The following is a 17642-nucleotide window of genomic DNA, read 5'->3' as shown; positions in this document are numbered from 1 at the left end:
AGAATGAGAGCCAAGAGAAAGGGGCTTCCCCCTATAAAACTATCAGGTCTTGTGAGATTTATTCACTACCATGAGAACAGTATGGGAAAAAACACTTCCATGATTCAATTATCTCCCACTGGGTCCCTCCCACAACAGGTGGGAATTGTGGGAGCTACAATTCAAGATGAGATTTGGGTGGGGTCACAGACAAACCATATCAATGGGATAGCATATTTGCAAACTACCCATCTGACAAGGGATTAATAACCAGAATATATAAGGAGCTCAAATAACTCTATAGAAAAAAAATCTAATAATCCAATTTAAAAATGGGCAGAAGATTTGAATAGACACTTCTCTAAAGAAGACATACACATGGAAAATAGGTGCTGAACGTCACTGATCATCAGAGAAATGCAAATCAAAACCACAATTAATATCATCTCACCCTAGTGAAAATGGCTTTTATCCAAAAATCAGGCAATAACAAATGCTGGGAGGATGTGGAAAAAAGGGAACTCTCATTCACTGTTGGTGGGAATGTAAATTAGCACGACCACTATCAAGAACAGTTTGAAGGTTCCTCAAAAAACTAAAAATTGAGCTGCCATATGATCCAGCAATCCCACTGCTGGGTATATACCCAAAAGAAAGGAAATCAGTATATTGAATCAATATCTGCACCTCATGTTTGTTGCAGCACTGTTCACAGTAGACAAGATTTGGAAGCAACCTAAGTGTCCAACAACAGATGAATAGTAAGGAAAATGTGGTACTGTTCAGCCATAAAAGAGAATGAGGTCCTATCATTTGCAACAACATGGATGGAAATGGAGGTCATTGTGTTAAGTAAAATAAGCCAGGCACAGAAAGAAAAACATTGCATGTTCCCACTTATTTTTGGGATCTAGAAGTCAAAACAATTGAACTCATGGAGACAGAGAGTAAAAGGATGGTTACCAGAGGATGGGAAGGGTAGTGGGGCTCTGGGGAGGGAGGTGAGAATGGTAAATGGGTACAACAAAAAATAGAACTAATGAATAAGACCTATTATTTGAGAGCTTAGTAGGGTAATTATAATCAAAATAATTTAATTATTCATTTTAAAATAACTAAAAATTATAATTGCATTATTTGCAATATGAAGGATAAATGTTCCACTTTCCATGGTGTGATTATTATGCATTGCATGCCTATATCAGACTATCTCATGTACCCCATAAATATACATACCTACTATATACCCACAAAAGTTAAAAATTAAAAATTTTAAAAAAGTGAGTCATGGACAAAACACCTTATAAGTCATGTAATATTTTATTCATGTTGTGAATTTTCACAAGCATTATACAATAATTATTTTGCACCAGGCTTTCCATATTACGTGTAGGATTTCTTTCCAGTAGAAGTTTCACGTGACTTTTAAAGTAATTGTTAAAAGTGATAACTTTTCTGTACTTTTTTTTTTTTTTTTTTTTTGAGATGGAGTCTCACTCTGTCGCCCAGGCTGGAGTGCGGTTATGCAATCTTGGCTCACTGCAAGCTCCACCTCCCGGGTTCACGCCATTTTTCTGTATTTTTTATACTACTAGTACTTTAATCCAGTATGCATTCTTATATTTATAAAATTTTCTTCAGTGTCTATTACCATGTTTCTTTGCATACATATGAGAAATGAAAACATTCCCACATTCCATACATTCATAGTTTTTCTCCAGAATAAGTTATGCCATGAAGTGAAAATGGAACAACTAAAGGCCTCATCATGCTTCTTACATTCATAAGGCTTTTCTTCCACATGAGCTCTTCCATGTTTTCAAAAAGAACTGGGAAAACTGAAGGCCAAACCACATTTCTTACATTCATAGGGTTTTTCTCCAATGTGATTCTATTCAATTCTTTTGACCTCAAGAGTCTTTGAATGGAAAAGGACACCAGATCATTTGATCCTTTTTTTACAGTTGAGACTAACAAACCTCAGATAGTAAAGTGGCTAGTCAATGATGGGTAGCACAGATTTTCCTACATCTTCTGCCACTGTGTCACAAGGTAAGTGGCCAGTAGATTGATGACTTCAGAGAAGTCAAAAGAGAGATGTATGACATGAGAAAAACAAAATTTGAACTGGCTATTGGATATAGGGTCACTAATATAGAATTGTTTTTTTTTTTTACAGAGAGAATGTTGAAAAGAATATTCAATTTTGTTTGAAAAGCTGTAGAGTACTTTAGGGCACTAGTGAGTTACTCAGTATCATCTGTTTTCATTTTTGACAACACAATTTTTACAGTAAAGATTTCAATGTAATCACCAAATAATAGGATCCATCTATGTGACAGCATCATATATTTGGTCAATTTTTATCCTGCCAGCATGTGGAGGGGCCACAGACATGTCCCAGGTCATAATGAGGGTTAGTGGCAGATCTCAAATGAACAGTAGTAACAAACATATACAGAAGTGAAACTTTGCCTGAAACAGAACCTGCTAAGATATATGTGAAAAGGACCAAGATAACTATGGCGGGGAGAGGGTGAGAGGATAATCTCCAAGGGGCTAGGACTAATTCATCCCTGTGATCTCTCTTGTGCCTACCCTGGTGCTTAGCCCGAAGTAGACACACAGAAACGTCATTTTTTCATTGACTTGAATCTGATCAACTAAAATCAGGAGTTGTTTTCTGATGGCTCTGCTGCAGCTGTGAAGAAATAAAAGCAGGGAATTCCAACAGAAATTATTATGTAGTGCTTACATAGTAATCCCAGAAAACCCATTATGACTTTCAAAGGCATAATAACCCAATAAATTTTCCAGAAGAAACAAGAATAAAAATGAGGATAATGTAGCTAGAACTTATGTAATTGTAAACAAGGCAGTTAACCTTTTGGGAAAACAGTTTTGATTTTGGATTAAGAAGGTCATGATTATGTCTCTCCCACATTGAATATTATAATTCCAAACAACTTTTTCATGTGTTAGTGGACATTTTTAATAACTGACAGAATATTTCCTGGGCTTCTATATTTTAAGTCCTTGGAGAACAGAGTGGTTCTATTTTGAGAAAATACCGCATTGATAACCCTGAACTCTTCTGGACATGGAATTCACAGAATGTTAAATATGAGATAATTTCAACTCTTTTTAGAAAGTTAGACTGTAGCTTTAGCATGAACTCACTATCACTTCTCAGGGTGTCTACGAGAGAAGTATTCGCAACAACAGTTCAACACTATGACCTCATAGCTATCAATTTAGTTTGCATATAGTTGCCCCTGGTGGCTCATATCTGTGTTACAAATAGGAATAATTCACTATTCTTTACTTCTTGAAAAGCTCATATTGAAGTACAGCATTTGGCATGTGAGTAAAAATAACACAATCTGCTAAATGTCATAATAAAACAAATGGTTTTGTAAGAAGTGCTCAGGTAGCACCCAGGGAGAAAGGTGTGTCTCTGCTTCAAAGGGCCATCCCACTCGTCAAAGCATGGGCAACTGGAGCCAAAGAAAGGAAGAAAAAGCATAATATTAGTTTACTATATTAGTATAGTTTTAAAAATACCTGTTGGATCTGAAAAGAAAATTGAGAGGTCAATGGAAAGAGGCAGAGCAATATAACAGAAGACCTTAGCATTTAGAGCAAAATCTGAATTGTATCTGAGGTCTTGGCTCTGTTACTTACTGGATATGTGGCTTAGAGTGGCTAACTACTCTCAGGCTCTGTTGCCTACCTACTCTCAAGAAGAGAAATATCTACTTCACTTGACTGCTGAAAAGAATTTGGATGAAATGATTCAGCATATAATCTATCATGGGTCCTAACTCAGTAACTGGTAAGTACATTGGTTCCACTTAAATATAACTTTGGAAGCATCGATGACAATAGAACACAGATCCACTGATGTTTTTTCTATACTGTTGATTATTTTCTTCTAAATCTTCCTGTAATTTTTGCACTGAATATTCCAGTATAGGCCTTTGGGAAAAAATAAAAAGGAGGACAGATCCCATGAAAAACAGGCAGCAGACTCAAAACCAATTCCTTCAGCACATAATCATTTACAACTTCAATTGCAACTTTCAGAAAAGTTAAGCATTGATTGTCTCATAGTAAGACATGTGCCTAAAGGCCCTAAAAAGAAAAACTAATAACAGAAAATATATGTAATAAGTGTTAGCTTAACCATCAAGCTTAAGGAATGAACAACTGTCAAAAAAGTTCAATTTAGGGTGATATAACTAAAATGTTTTTCTGTGGCACTTTATATGAAAGAAATATGAACCAGAAGCAACTTACTACCCAGAATATGACACTATATAAAAACATACACATATAAATCAAGGTTTGCAAATCTCTTGAGATTCACATAAAAGTAGATATCCAAGGAAGATGGTTCTTGATATGACATCAGGATATAGCCCAACAAACTTGAGGAAACTTTGACCCATAAAACTCTAGTTGTATAAAATAAATCTAAAAGCCTCAATGAGCACCCAAAAATTTGCACTATGATTAATAAGGGCTCAGCATTGTTCTTTCTCTGGACTTTAAAATCCTTTATCTAAAACTAATGAAAGTGGTAGAATTCAGAGTTCAGAGTGAAAGTCAAGCCTCAGACCTGGGAGAAGCCTGTATTTCATTTATTTGAAGTAAAGACTTGAGGGCTATAAACCTCATGCACTGTCTCTTCATCTCCCTCCAGAATATATTTTAACATACCATTTGATATAACATACTACATGGCCTTAAATAGCAGCCTTTTTGTAGATTCGGACTAATTGGGCTTTCAACTGAATGTTGCTGTGAAACTGATGGCCTTACTATCAGCAGCGAGCTGGCTATTTTTAATCCAAACACAGAGAAAATGCAATGACAAATATGAAAAAATCTTTAAGCAAATAGACCTTAGAATGTTTAATGTTTATAAGTTTGCAGATTTCTTTGGTTTTGTTTTTACATAACAATATCTAACGTTAACTTTAGAAGCTGACTTGTGGGAAGGGACAGGAAAGGTAGTCCCTAAATGATTAAACAACTTCATTCATGAAGCATGAGGTTTAACCAGCAAGGTTTTGAGTAGATACTTTATTTCTCTTCCTTAGATTCTTCATTTTTAAATGAGGAGGTGTCCCTAAAAGATATGTAAATTCCATCTGGCTCCAAATTAAATTATCATTCACAGCACAGGGTCCCCAGCCTCATAGGGGCCTGTTAGGAACTGGGTGGTACAGCAGGAGGTGAGAGGCTGGCAAGCAAGCGAAGCTTCATTTGTATTTACAACTGCTCCCATCACTCACATTATTGCCTGAGTTTCACCTCCTGTCAGATCATTGGCAGCATTCGATTCTCATAGAAGTGCAAACCCTATTGTGAACTACACATGCGAGGGATCTAGGTTGCACGTTCCTTATGAGAATCTAAGGCCTGATGATCTGTCACTGTCTCCCATCACCCCCAGATGGCAGATATCAGTGACAGATATCATCAAGCATTACATAATGCAATATAATAATAATAGAAATAAAGAGCACAATAAATGTAATACACTTAAATCATCCCCAAACCATCCCCCATCCCTGTTCGTGGAAAAATTGTCTTCGACAAAACCAGTCCTTGGTACCAAAAAGTACCTTTGTGACCCATGACTTATGGTATTGGGAATCCTAATTATTTCATTTCTCTATCTCTAAAAACCATTTACTTATTCGTTTTTTACAAATATTTTTACATTTATTACAAACTCTATAAATATTTATTAAGTACCTAATATGTTCCAGGCACATAAATACTGGAGATAATGCCACGACCGAAACAGCAAAAATCTCTTCTGCCCTGAAATTAATATTCTACTGGGAATAAAAAATATAAACAAAAGCAAGTCAGAGGATGATAAATTTAAAACAAGGAAGAAGGAATAACTTCAGTAGGGTAAGATATGACAATTTTAAATAGAAAACTTCACTAAAAAGATGACATTTAACCAAAGAGCTGAAGGAAGTAGGAGGCGAGGCATGTGGAAATCTGGGAGAAAAACATGCCAGGGAAAGGCAAGTGCATATGGCCTGAGACAAGAGCAAGCATGTACATCTTCCGGGAACCACTAGGAGCCCAGCGTGAGTGGAGTGGAATGAGCAAGGAGATCAGTAGAAGGTGAGATTATGGCGGTAATAGGAGACACAGCTGAGGATTTAAGTCCTTGGAGGTCACTGTATGAATGCTGTGTTTAACTCTGAGAGATGGGAAGCCATGAGCAGCAGGTGTAACATGACCTGCCTCCCTTTGGCTGCTTTGCTAAGACAGATCGCAATGGGCATAAGGTGGGCAGAAGAAACAGAGGATGGCTCGGACCAGGATTGTGACAATGTGGGTGGTAAGTGGTCAGATTCTGAATATATCAAGAAAGTATTGCCAACAAGATTTGCTATTGGATTGGATATGGGTGTAAGAGAGAGAAGTCATAGATTATTTCAAAATGCTTGGCTTCAGAAATTGGAAGTATGCTAGTAGAAAGACCAGAACCAGGCAGTCTGGCTTTGCAGTCCAACTCTGCCACTGTGACACTAGGCAAGTAAGTATTTTCCTCCATTCTGCATTGCAAAATAGAAGTAATAATAATGCCAACCTCACATGGTGTTGAGGATTATGTGAGTGAATATAAAAAAATTATTAAAATAGTACTTGCCACATAGCCCCATGTAAATGTTTGCTATCATTATTACCATGATGTTGGGAAAAATTATAGGGACCAGATTTGGGGAAAGAAGTTCAGGATTTAGTTTGGGGGCATGTGAGGTTTGAGACAAGATTCCTATCTGCAATCCAAGTGGAGCTGTTGGACAGTCAGATTCACATATATATGAATCTACAGGTTAAGTGTTATCAATGTATAGAAGCAACTGAAAACATAATACTGGATGAGATAACAAAGAGAAGAGTTATAAAAATATTGCCCTGGAGAACATGAAGGGAGGGAGAATATAACAATGTCCTAGAAGCCAAATAAATCAATCATTTCAAGGAGGAGGCAGTGATCAGCTTAACCAAATGTTTCTGAGTGCTCAAATAAGAAAAAGACTGAGAATTTTCTATTGTATTTAGCCATGCAGAGGTCCTCAATCAAGAGCTTTCTCATAGAGGTGTTAAGGGTGAAGACTAGAAGGAAGAATTGGAAGTAATAAACAAAGTCAAGTCTTTTTAAAAGTTTTGCTCTGAAAGGCAGTAAAGAAATACAGTATTACTTGAAAAATGAGATCAAGAAACATTATATTAATGTGGGGAAAATGGCAGCATATTTGTATGCTGATAGGAATGGTGTAACAGAGAGGGAAAAATTAATGATGCAGAAGAGAGAGGAGACAAAGATAAATTATTCTCATCCTGCCCCTTGCAACTAGACAGACAGGAAAGGTGGGCCATGGGAAGCCTCAGTGTGATTTGAGGTACTCAAGGATGGGGATCCCCAAGCTCCGCAGAAGTGCAAAGGTGAGCATGGATGTTCCTGCCACTACAGGAAGAACTACTCATTACTTATGCTTTCTGGGCAATTGCGAAAATGTTGTTGACCCAGCCCATTCCTCTCCAGTTTAGAGTAAGAAAGCCACTGGAGAACTGAAGCCTCAGGCAGCCGGTATGTCTTCCTCTGCAGGAATATTGGCCTTTCCTTAGTGGAAACTCAATACACAGTTCCTCCCAAGTGCTAAGAGACTTTACTAGAATTAGATCATCTAACCCTCCGTACCAATGACAGGAGTATCACAATTATTTCTATTTTAGAAATGCAGGAACTAGGGTCTTCTGTAGATAAATAAACTGCTCAGGAGATTTGAACTGAGATCTGACTTCAGAGCCTGAGCACTTCCGCTTCAGTCTACCTGCTTCACCACCTAACCCCTTCCATGCATGTCTTACTCAAGGACACAAAGCAGTTGCAGAAAGAGAACCAAATCTGAAACTCACTTCTCTTCTCTGAAGAAAAATAATTCAAGATTTCCTTGAATGGAAAAAGGGAGTGCTGAAATGGACTCACATGTTTATATAACACTGGGACATAATTTTACTCTGTCATTAACTAGTCTTGTGAACACTGATAAAGGTACATTTCATGACACCTTCAAAATGCTACTTGCCTGCCTTACAATTACTCGCCATTGTCTCAGAAGATTGAAAGTCCAATAGTGAATTAATGTGAAAATCATCACTGAGCCCCAGAACTGCACAGTATTTTCCAAGGAACACTCACAAAGCCTAGGTTTTGCAGTTACTGTCAAAAGTCTGACATTAGACTGGATATGTGGGAATCTGATAGAGGAAGTCCCATACTCCCAGAGAACCTAGAAGCCAGGGACCCTGAATTCTTCCCTTAAGAGTAGCATCAGATCCTTCTCCTAAAGATCTCTCCTTTTCTTTTTAATAAGAGGAACATAAAACTGGATCAATCAGTTAAGACTTATAGAGTCCCTGCTGTGTGCTGTTCTAGATGAGACAGGTACATATTCTGCCCTTCTTTGTGTAACTTTAATCAAGAGACACAATTTCTCAAATTTCATTTTCTCCTTCTGCAACATGAAAATTGTCAGATTTGATTTAAAAAGGATTCTAATATTTCAAAAGCTGTGTTCCTTTTCTAACTCTCACATTAGCCAGCACAGAGAAGGCACACAGAGATACTCCTAACATGCCAGGTGCCTTAGGTGGGCTGAACCCTAGACACCAAAGAGTAAGTGGCCTCAGGTAAATGTATTTCCTCTCTCAACTACTTTTCCTTGTAATATTGGAATAATAGTAGCTCCCTCAAAGGACTGGTGAAAATTAAATGAATAATGTAAAACACCTGTTTTATCGTAATGTGCTTTGTGCTCTTCAAGTTAAAGGTGGATTAATTTTAAGTTACTTTCAAATCCTTCATTTCTAGTTCTATAGAAACTATCATGTTTTCTTAGGGCCAAGGGAGGCAGATCTTTCCATTAATATCTAACCTCTTGGGAATTTTCCAGAACGCTTTTATCTGCTCCAAACACAAAGGACCATATATTAAGCATTCTAACTTCATCATCTTTCAAATGGGCTAACAGAGAGTTCAATGAATTGTATACTGTTTATTTAATGACTAATCTGGCAACCGTAATGCAGCATGAAAATGATTTCTGTTAGAAACAAAATGAAAAAAAAATTAAAATTTCAAACATTTTTTCAGTTTTTACTGTCTTTTTATAGGGCAAACTTTGGCTTTGAAGAAAATTATGCTCTACATCTATGTTTGCTTATAATTTACCTTGAAGAAAATTGAACTTTGCCACTATATCTGTCCTTATATGGCAGCTTACAGAGATATTTACCTGTTTTATCTCCTTTAATTTTCAGAAAGGGAAAAAAATTATCCCCATTTTACCATTGTAGAAGTTGAAATTCAGATAAATGAGGTAATATGTACTTCACATGGCTAGCTTACTGTGTAACAGAGATTCAATCCCTTGATGTCATACTTTGTTACTAGTCCTTTTTACTACACCGGGTAACCGATTTCTGAAGACCTTTGATGTTCTCACCACCTTATTCACCATGTTCTTATGGTATGTTTTATCTGACAATATTACACTAAAATTTGATGAATTATTTATTCATCAAATAATTATTTTTCCTCTCTTATCAGGTGTTTTCCTAAGATTAGGACTGTAATAACCATAAACAGACATACTTGCAAAAATAAATGCGAAGTTAGAACTGTCATTAGTGTCATGAAGAAGTATATGATGCTGGTCACATATAATGGGAGGATTTTATCTAGTCTGGGGCATAGAATCAGAAAAGGCTTCCTGAAAAAGAGGTAACTGAGCTAAAATCTGAAAGCTAACTGGCAGCAAACCAGGCACAAGAAGAGTGTTCCAGGCAGATGAAATGGCATACACAAGGACAGTGGAAGGAGAGGGGAAGAGTCACAAAGAACTGAGAAAAGACCAGGGAAGCCAGAGCAGAAACCAACGAGGGAGAGGGGTGGTATAATGTGAAATGAGACAACACACAACAGGAATTTTTAGAAATAGATTTTATCTTTTAGAGAAGGTTCACAGAAGAGAGGAAAGTTCAGAGATTTCCCATACACCCCCTACCCCGAGACATGCATAGCCTCCATTATCGACATCCCTCACCAGAGTGGTACATTTTTTTCAATTCATGAACCTACATTGACACGTTACCACCCAAAGTCCATAGTTTACATTGGGGTTCACTCCTGGTGTTGTAACTATATGGATTTTAAGCACTATAATATGAAAAATGATTTCTCTCTTTCTCTTGTTGATTTAACATATATTGATAGAGTACTCATCATATACCAGGCACTGGAGAGCCAGTAATGACCGATAACAGCCCCTGCACTCACACACTTAGAGTTTTCACCAGAATACATGAAATAGGTCACTGAAATTCAACTCTATGACAATTTCAGGATGCTGGAAGTATATCTAAGAGGGACTTCTAATCTAGACTGGAAGGTTGGGAAAGCATCAGCTGGGACCTAAACATGAATGAATGTTAGCCATAAAAAGTAGGGAAGTGTTTCATAAGCCAAGGTAACAGAGTAGAAGGTCTACAGGTAATGGACTAAACCATAGAGTAAAAGTGGGGCTTAGAGATGAGGATGGAGATTTAGTTAGAAGCCAGCATGGGTCTCATAAATTATGTTAGAGAATGTGGTTTCTCCTAAATCACTGGAACTTTTTAGAAGAGAATAAATCAGATTAATTTATGTTTTCTCTCTGACTGTAGAATTGAAAATGCTTTGAATTGGACACCACAGAAGGCAGGAATATATATATATATATATATATATATATATATATATATATATATATATATATATATATATATATTTATGAAAGCTATTACTATAGTCAAGACATAAGGTATGGTGACCTGAACTGGAACAGCTACAGTGGGGATAGAGAGAGATAGATGGACTCATGCCACATCCAGAAGGTAGAATAAATAGAATGTGCTCTTTTGCAGAAACTGCCTTTGTTTTAGCACATCGCCTGAAATGCCTGCAGCCCCTTCTAGTGGAAATGACTCTGCCCATAGCCTCTGCTAAAGAAACAGCTACAATCTGCACATGTGATGCCATTACCCAGCAGGTCCAGGTCACTAGAGGAAGGGAATCTTATTGGATAAAGGCTGAGTATCTGACCCAGAGCTAGGATCTAATCTGTCTTAAATAAATTCATATTGTCTCTCCTGAGGATTAAAGTCAATAAATACAAAGAAAATAAGGCAAATCACAAAATACAATCTAAAATTATGAGAAAGTCGAGCCACATGTAGAGCAACATTAAGTTAGAACCCTAGAATGAAAAGCCTTATATCCCAAGCTTCCGAGCTAACTTAACCCACCTTGGTCTTAGAATCCTGCTTCAGCTACTACTCTTCCTTTGGTTATCTGGCTCTTTCTGATATCCCATGCCTGCATATTGCTGCATCAAATCCCCCACTGTTTGAGAAAATCTGAGTTAGTCTCAAATTCTTGAAGCCAAGTTAGTTTAACAAAAACAGTCCATGATACATCTCTTGAAAAGGCAAACATCAGCCATCCTCCAAAGTACTGAAACAACGCAATTTTTTTTCAAAAACCATTCCCATAGATAGCTCTGTTTAACTGGTAGTTATCTTCAAGAGCATACAGGAAGATTAGATTTAATGGAAGTGACTGGTTGTTCCATATTTGAGTGAGAAATGAATAAGAAAAGGGGACTTCCATTGTAGTTAGAGGAATTTAGATTGGATTTTTCTTTAAAAGTAATGATATTTTATGCTAGAAAGGCTACGTAATAAATCTTCTCTGGATGAAATAGATAGCAAGTCATTTTAGAAAAGTATTAGACTTTTTAAAACTGAAGTTCAATATATGTGCTACTCTCTCCAGGGCTCCATGAGCCATGATAGTTGCACTTATGGTGAATGAAGATCAGCTCATCAGCTCTGATGGACACAGAGGCCCAGGTAGCCCTTCGGAAAAGGTTACAGCTTGCAGATCTTTAGTTCATGTGGTGGGAGGGAGCTTGAAGAAAAGACACAAGATCAGCATTTAGTGTCAGAATGCCTCCACTGAAGGTTTGGCTCTATGCATTCTAAGTTTCTATTTTAGAATTTTTAACATAGAGATAGAAAGCTTTGCATGGTTACTGTGAGCATCACAAAGAGTTGCCATGTAGAAAGCATCATATATACTGGACATCACTATACACTGTTCATATTTATGATAAGAAGAGTTTTCTTACAGAATAAGGAAAACTACTGGTGAAACTCACATACAATAGCAGTTAAAAACATAAACTTTGGGATCGGATGGGCCTAACTTTGAGAATCCACTTGTTATAACACTAATCCCATAATATTGGACCAGTAAAACTCTTCAAGACTCAGAGCATCAGCTATAAAATGGGGTAAAATGGCACCTGACCTCATAAGCCATTTAGTTTTGAGACCATACAGTATTAAGCCTTCTAATTCATGCATATTATATACTCTAAATACTAATTTTAATAGCAGCAGCAGTAGTGAGTGGGTTTTCAAATATTATTTATAAACATCTCAGATCCTGTAACATTTTGTATTGCCTATCCCAAGAAGTAACTCAGAATGGGCAACCTTGACTATAAATCTAATTTTTATAGCAACTAGCAATATGCTTCATTTATGTGACACAATAGTTTCCTCTTTGCTAGCAAAAGGAAATGTCCTCTTTCCTCTTTCATAGTAAAAGAAAACATAGCCACTTTTTCCAGCCACTAATATGTAGTTGTCATTTAGGGAGAGTGCAGGACTGGTGGGCTGTCATGAGGAAACACATTCTCTTAACATAGTGTTCAATTTATTGCTTAGAGTCTTCTAATTTAGTTTAGAGATAAGACTGGCAAGAAGAAAATATTCTATTCTATAATAAATGAACACCTACATCCTTAGAGGTTGTAATTTTGACTCCCACTTGTTTTCATGTATCCAGTCATTCAACAAATATTGATTGGCACTGGATTAAACACTGGCTGTTTAACAGCTAGCAAGATTCACATGGTCCCTGCCTTCAACAGCTAGCAGTCCACTGAGTGCACAGGTAAAATAACCAACAATTACAATACTGTGTTTTAAAAGCTACGATAGGATAAATATGTTTTATGACTACCTAGGAAGGACATTTGGCTCATCAGACTCATTAGGAAGCAATGCCATATGAAAACACTGGATTTGTCTCTTCTCCTTTATTAGATTACAGACAGGTGCTCTTGACAAAATCTGGCTTACTTTATCTTTGAATTCTCTGTAGTATCTGAATTATCACTTAGCACAAGTACTTGCCTGGGGTGTATCCAGCTGATTTTCTGAGGCTCACTCAGTATCTATCCCAATCTTCTTATAGTATCCTACAAGGTTGAAAAACTAAAAATAAGATTTCCCAGACTCCTTTACGTACATGGTTATGATTGTGACTTGGATTAGGCCAGTTAGATACAATCACAATGATTTGTTTTGGAAATGGTTAAATGCAAACAGAAGTAGTACAAAATCTGATACAGGTGTAGACTATAGCAGACACATGGGTTGGAGCCAACAAATTTGACAATGACTTCCTGGGTCATAGTCAAGGTAGTATGAACCTGAGGCCAGCAGTTTGAATAGCAGCTTCCTGACTCCATGACTTTTCAATTGTGACAAAGATGACAGCTCTCTTGGTGGGCAAGTTCTGCAGGGTAACTCTTATTCTACAGTCATTTCTAGAGGCCCAGCCTAAGGGTTGCTTTTCCAGCACTTTGAACAATGTTGTAGCCAACTAACTCCTTATACTAAGTCCCTTTCTGCTCAAACTCGCTGGAACTATCTCTGCTATCTGCAACTGAACCTTATTGCAGCCTTTTAAGCAAAACTTAAATTTTTCAGAAACATATACTAATCTCCATAGTCAATACATAAAGCACTATAAAGTATAATAAGACCACCCACTGAATGTGAAAATAGCAAGAATGAGCACACAATGGCACATTTAATCAACTACATGAAGAATTGTGCTTAAGATGGTCTGTGAATTCATTTGTCAGTAGTTTGGAGCCACTCAAGGCCAATCAATGTGGCTCTGTTGCATGCTTAGAACTGGCATGTAACAAGTAGGCAGTCTAATCTATCCTATTTAAGAATGTGTTCTGGGTCGGGTGCAGTGGCTCACGCCTGTAATCCCAGCACTTTGGGAGGCCGAGGTGGGTGGATCACGAGGTCAGGAGATCGAGGCCATCCTGGCCCACATGGTGAAACCTCGTCTCTACTAAAAATACAAAAGTTAGCCAGGCATGGTGGCATGTGCCTGTAGTCCCAGCTACTCGGGAGGCTGAGGCAGGAGAATTGCTTGAACCAGGGAGGCAGAGGTTGCAGTGAGCCGAGATTGCACCACTGCACTACAGCCTGGGTGACAAAGCAAGACTCTGCCTCAAAAAAAAAAAAAAAAAAAAAAAAGAATGTGTTCTGGTCATCACAGGTCTAGAAAGAAGGAAGTCAATAAGCAGAAACAGGTCAGTGTGTCTTTCACATCTTAGAAATGGAGACCCGATCAACAGACAAGACAATCAGCCTCCCTTGGAAGGTATGATTCTGTTGGTTAAGAGCACTTGGTTGGAAGATTCTCCACCTAATTCTCTTGTGTCTGTTTGTTACCGGGGGGTCCTTGCTCCCAGAGCTCCCAAGATGGTGGTGGGCTGCTTCCAAGATGGTGGCAAGTCTCATGTTCTCTGACCTGGGGTTCTTGGCCTCACAGATTCCAAGGAATGGAATCTTGGGCCATGCAGTGAGTGTTATAGTTCTATTAGAAGCCATGGGTCACAGAAGAGAACCATGGAACCTGGTGACTAGTGTTCAGTTCCATTAGGACGAACCCAGGCACTTAGCCGTGCAGGAACAATGGCAAGCCTTTAGCCTGATCGGGAGCAGCAATGGGCCCCTCACTGGATTAGGACAGTGGATACCCTGCCAGATCCAGAGGGATAGACGTCAGTGGTGGGTCTGCGACAGTAGCAAACAGCAGTGGTGGGCAGCGAGCAAAAGCTCTGTTCGAGCCATAACAAACACGGACCAGAAGAGAATGCAGTTGCAAGATTTAATAGAGTGAAAACAGAGCTCCCCTACAAAGGGAGGGGACCCAAAGAGGGTAGCCATTGCTGGCTCGGATGCCTGGGTTTATATCGTGATCATTGTCCCTCCCCCTGTGCTCTCAGGTGATTGATGATTGGCTATTTCTTTACCTCCTGTTTTAGCCTAATTAGCATTTTAGTGAGCTCTCTTTACTATCTGACTGGTCAGGTTTGAGCTAAGTTGCAAGCCCCATGTTTAAAGGTGGATGCGGTCACCTTCCCAGCTAGGCTTAGGAAATCTTTCTTGGCCTAGGAAATCCAGCTAGTCTGTCTTTCATGTTTCCAGATTACAGATTTGTAAAATATCTAGCTAGCTGCCCATCACATGGTAAATATTTTACATACCTAAATTCACTTTCTTCTTTCACCCTAGTCTTTCTAAATCCATTGTATATATGAAAAGGCTGAGGCTTATGGAAAGTAAGTAATATATCCCAGGTCCCACAGCCAAGTAGTTGGCAGAGCCAGAATTCGCTGACTCTTTGATGCTACATGCAGAATCTTGAATGGCATTTTATATTATGCTGCTTCCCACAAAAAATTCTCATCCAGGGAGAGAATGCATTGACCAACTAATATTAATATTCAGGTCCTCTTGCAAACCAGAGTTCTCTGTAAAATAATTGTGTCTGGTTGTAAAGTAGTCCCTTGTGAATAGGAATACCATGATTTCTCACACCTCATCCACTTCCTCAGACATGTTGCATCAATTACGTACATTTTAGGGGACCAACAAAGTTAAGAACAGTCTCAGGAACATGCCAAACCTACCAAAATGTCATCCTTGGTGGCCAGCCTGAACAGCAAACAAGCCTCTTAAGTTATTCCTTTTCTTCTAAAGCCACAGACTTTATCTTTCTTTCTCCTCCCTCTGTCTCCAGGAGGCTGTTGTGTTTTATGCGTCAAGCTCTTGGGTATTTACTGTAACTGCGTAACACAAATTTTTGAGCTATTTTGGTCAGAGGCTTGCCCCCATGTTGTTCTCACATGAAAGATTTTCCAAAGGTTTTATAATTCCACAGCTCAGTCTTATCTTGAATGGTCTTTCTTAAATACAGGCTCTGTGGACAGCAGGGAATCTTAGCAGCTGCTTTTGTGATGTAATTTCACGGTCAACAAAAAGGCAACTCTGACCCTCATAAATTTCCATCTCCATCTGTTCAATGGTATCTAAAAATCGAAAGAGATTTATTCATTTAAGCTGTGACTGCCTGTGTTTCCCACAATTCATATACCTCTAGGAAACTAGTATATTAAGCTTCATCAGTCATTAGCATCCTACTGAGTCTGAGTTTATCAAGTCTTCTACCTACAGGACATTTTTAATAGGGACAGAAAGGGAAGCCTCAGATCATAAGGCTGTATTTAAAGCACAGAAGGACCATGGAGTATTGCGTCTGTCTCTCTAGAACCCAACTCAGAGGAGAGAAGTATCAAATGCCTGATTCACACTCTCTCCATAGTTTTTTTTTGTTTCACTAGATCCTCTGCAATCTGGCTCCCACTGCCACCCTCTGAGTGTGTTCACTGATCTGTAAGCTCCATAAGGGAAGGAATTCCACCCATGCTTTGTCCCAACTGGGACTGCCACAAAACCCATGCTCAATGAGCATTTACTAAAAAAAAAAAAAAAAAATGTGGAAGAATGACCTTCCCGTGGGCACTATTCACTTCTTATGGAAACTCTCTGGAGCATTTGTTTACCATTTCCTCATTCCTGGAACCCCTCCCTTGGTGTTCATGTTTCCCCACCTTCATTGGGTGAAAGTGAAGAGATGATGGTGGCACACTGATGAGGAGATTGAACTCTGGAGTAAGACAGACAAGGTTTAAATCCGAGATCTTCTACTTACTACTTGCGTGACCCAGGCAGGTACTTAATTGTCCAATTTTGTTACTTCATGAAAAATAAGGGAATCTGACAAGTTTTTGCACAATCAGGTTGCAATAAGGATTATGTAAAAGAATCCCTGTTAACATTACATAGTGCCATATACATAGTCAGCAATCATAAATATTAGCTATCATTTTAATAAGTTAAAACCCTTTGGTTGCTATTTCTCATGCTCATTCACCTGTCACTTAAATCTTTACAGATGAAAAAACTGAATATTCTTCAAGTTTTCATTCTCTTTGCTTCTTTTGTTTTTAACTCTATCTACCACTACTCCCTTTGAATTCTCATCCAGTCTATAGCCTCAGTTACACATTATATTTTAATGACATGCCCTTTAACACTTAACTCTCATTTCTGAACATAAACTCCTATGTGACAGATATTACTATGAATTCACCCAAATTCACTTTTTTCTACCTTTTGAGTACACTGCTAGACTACATGTTTCCCAACCTTCCTTAGAGTTTTGTATGGCCATGTGAGTAGCTTCTGTCAATGGAATACGGTGGTGATAAAACAAGCCATCCCTAGGATTAGCACATAAAACACCTTCCATGTGATCATTCATACTTTCTCCCCATCTACCAGTTTGTACAGAAGAT

The 17642-nt window shown here is 38.2% G+C and overlaps 1 long non-coding RNA gene across 2 annotated transcripts; it reads right to left on the bottom strand.

Moving 5' to 3' along the window:
- Positions 1–1276: 1276 nt before the first annotated feature.
- Positions 1277–16163, bottom strand: LOC101928535 (uncharacterized). Of its 2 annotated transcripts, NR_120552.1 has the most exons (6): positions 15915–16163; positions 13327–13391; positions 11368–12031; positions 8958–9125; positions 5746–5831; positions 2954–3476 (listed from the first exon to the last, which is right to left on the bottom strand). It is a non-coding gene; the product is annotated as an uncharacterized LOC101928535 (long non-coding RNA). The 2 variants fall into 2 exon arrangements; NR_120551.1 differs by lacking the exons at positions 2954–3476; positions 8958–9125; positions 15915–16163 and adding exons at positions 1277–2680; positions 14671–14775 and having other exon boundaries at positions 5746–5828; positions 11368–11464.
- Positions 16164–17642: the final 1479 nt, after the last annotated feature.

Source organism: Homo sapiens, chromosome 11 (assembly GCF_000001405.40).
Source record: "Homo sapiens chromosome 11, GRCh38.p14 Primary Assembly".
Lineage (NCBI taxonomy): Eukaryota > Metazoa > Chordata > Mammalia > Primates > Hominidae > Homo > Homo sapiens.
The sequence above is the reverse complement of the archived record's forward strand: the minus strand, read 5'-3'. Positions and strand labels throughout refer to the sequence as shown.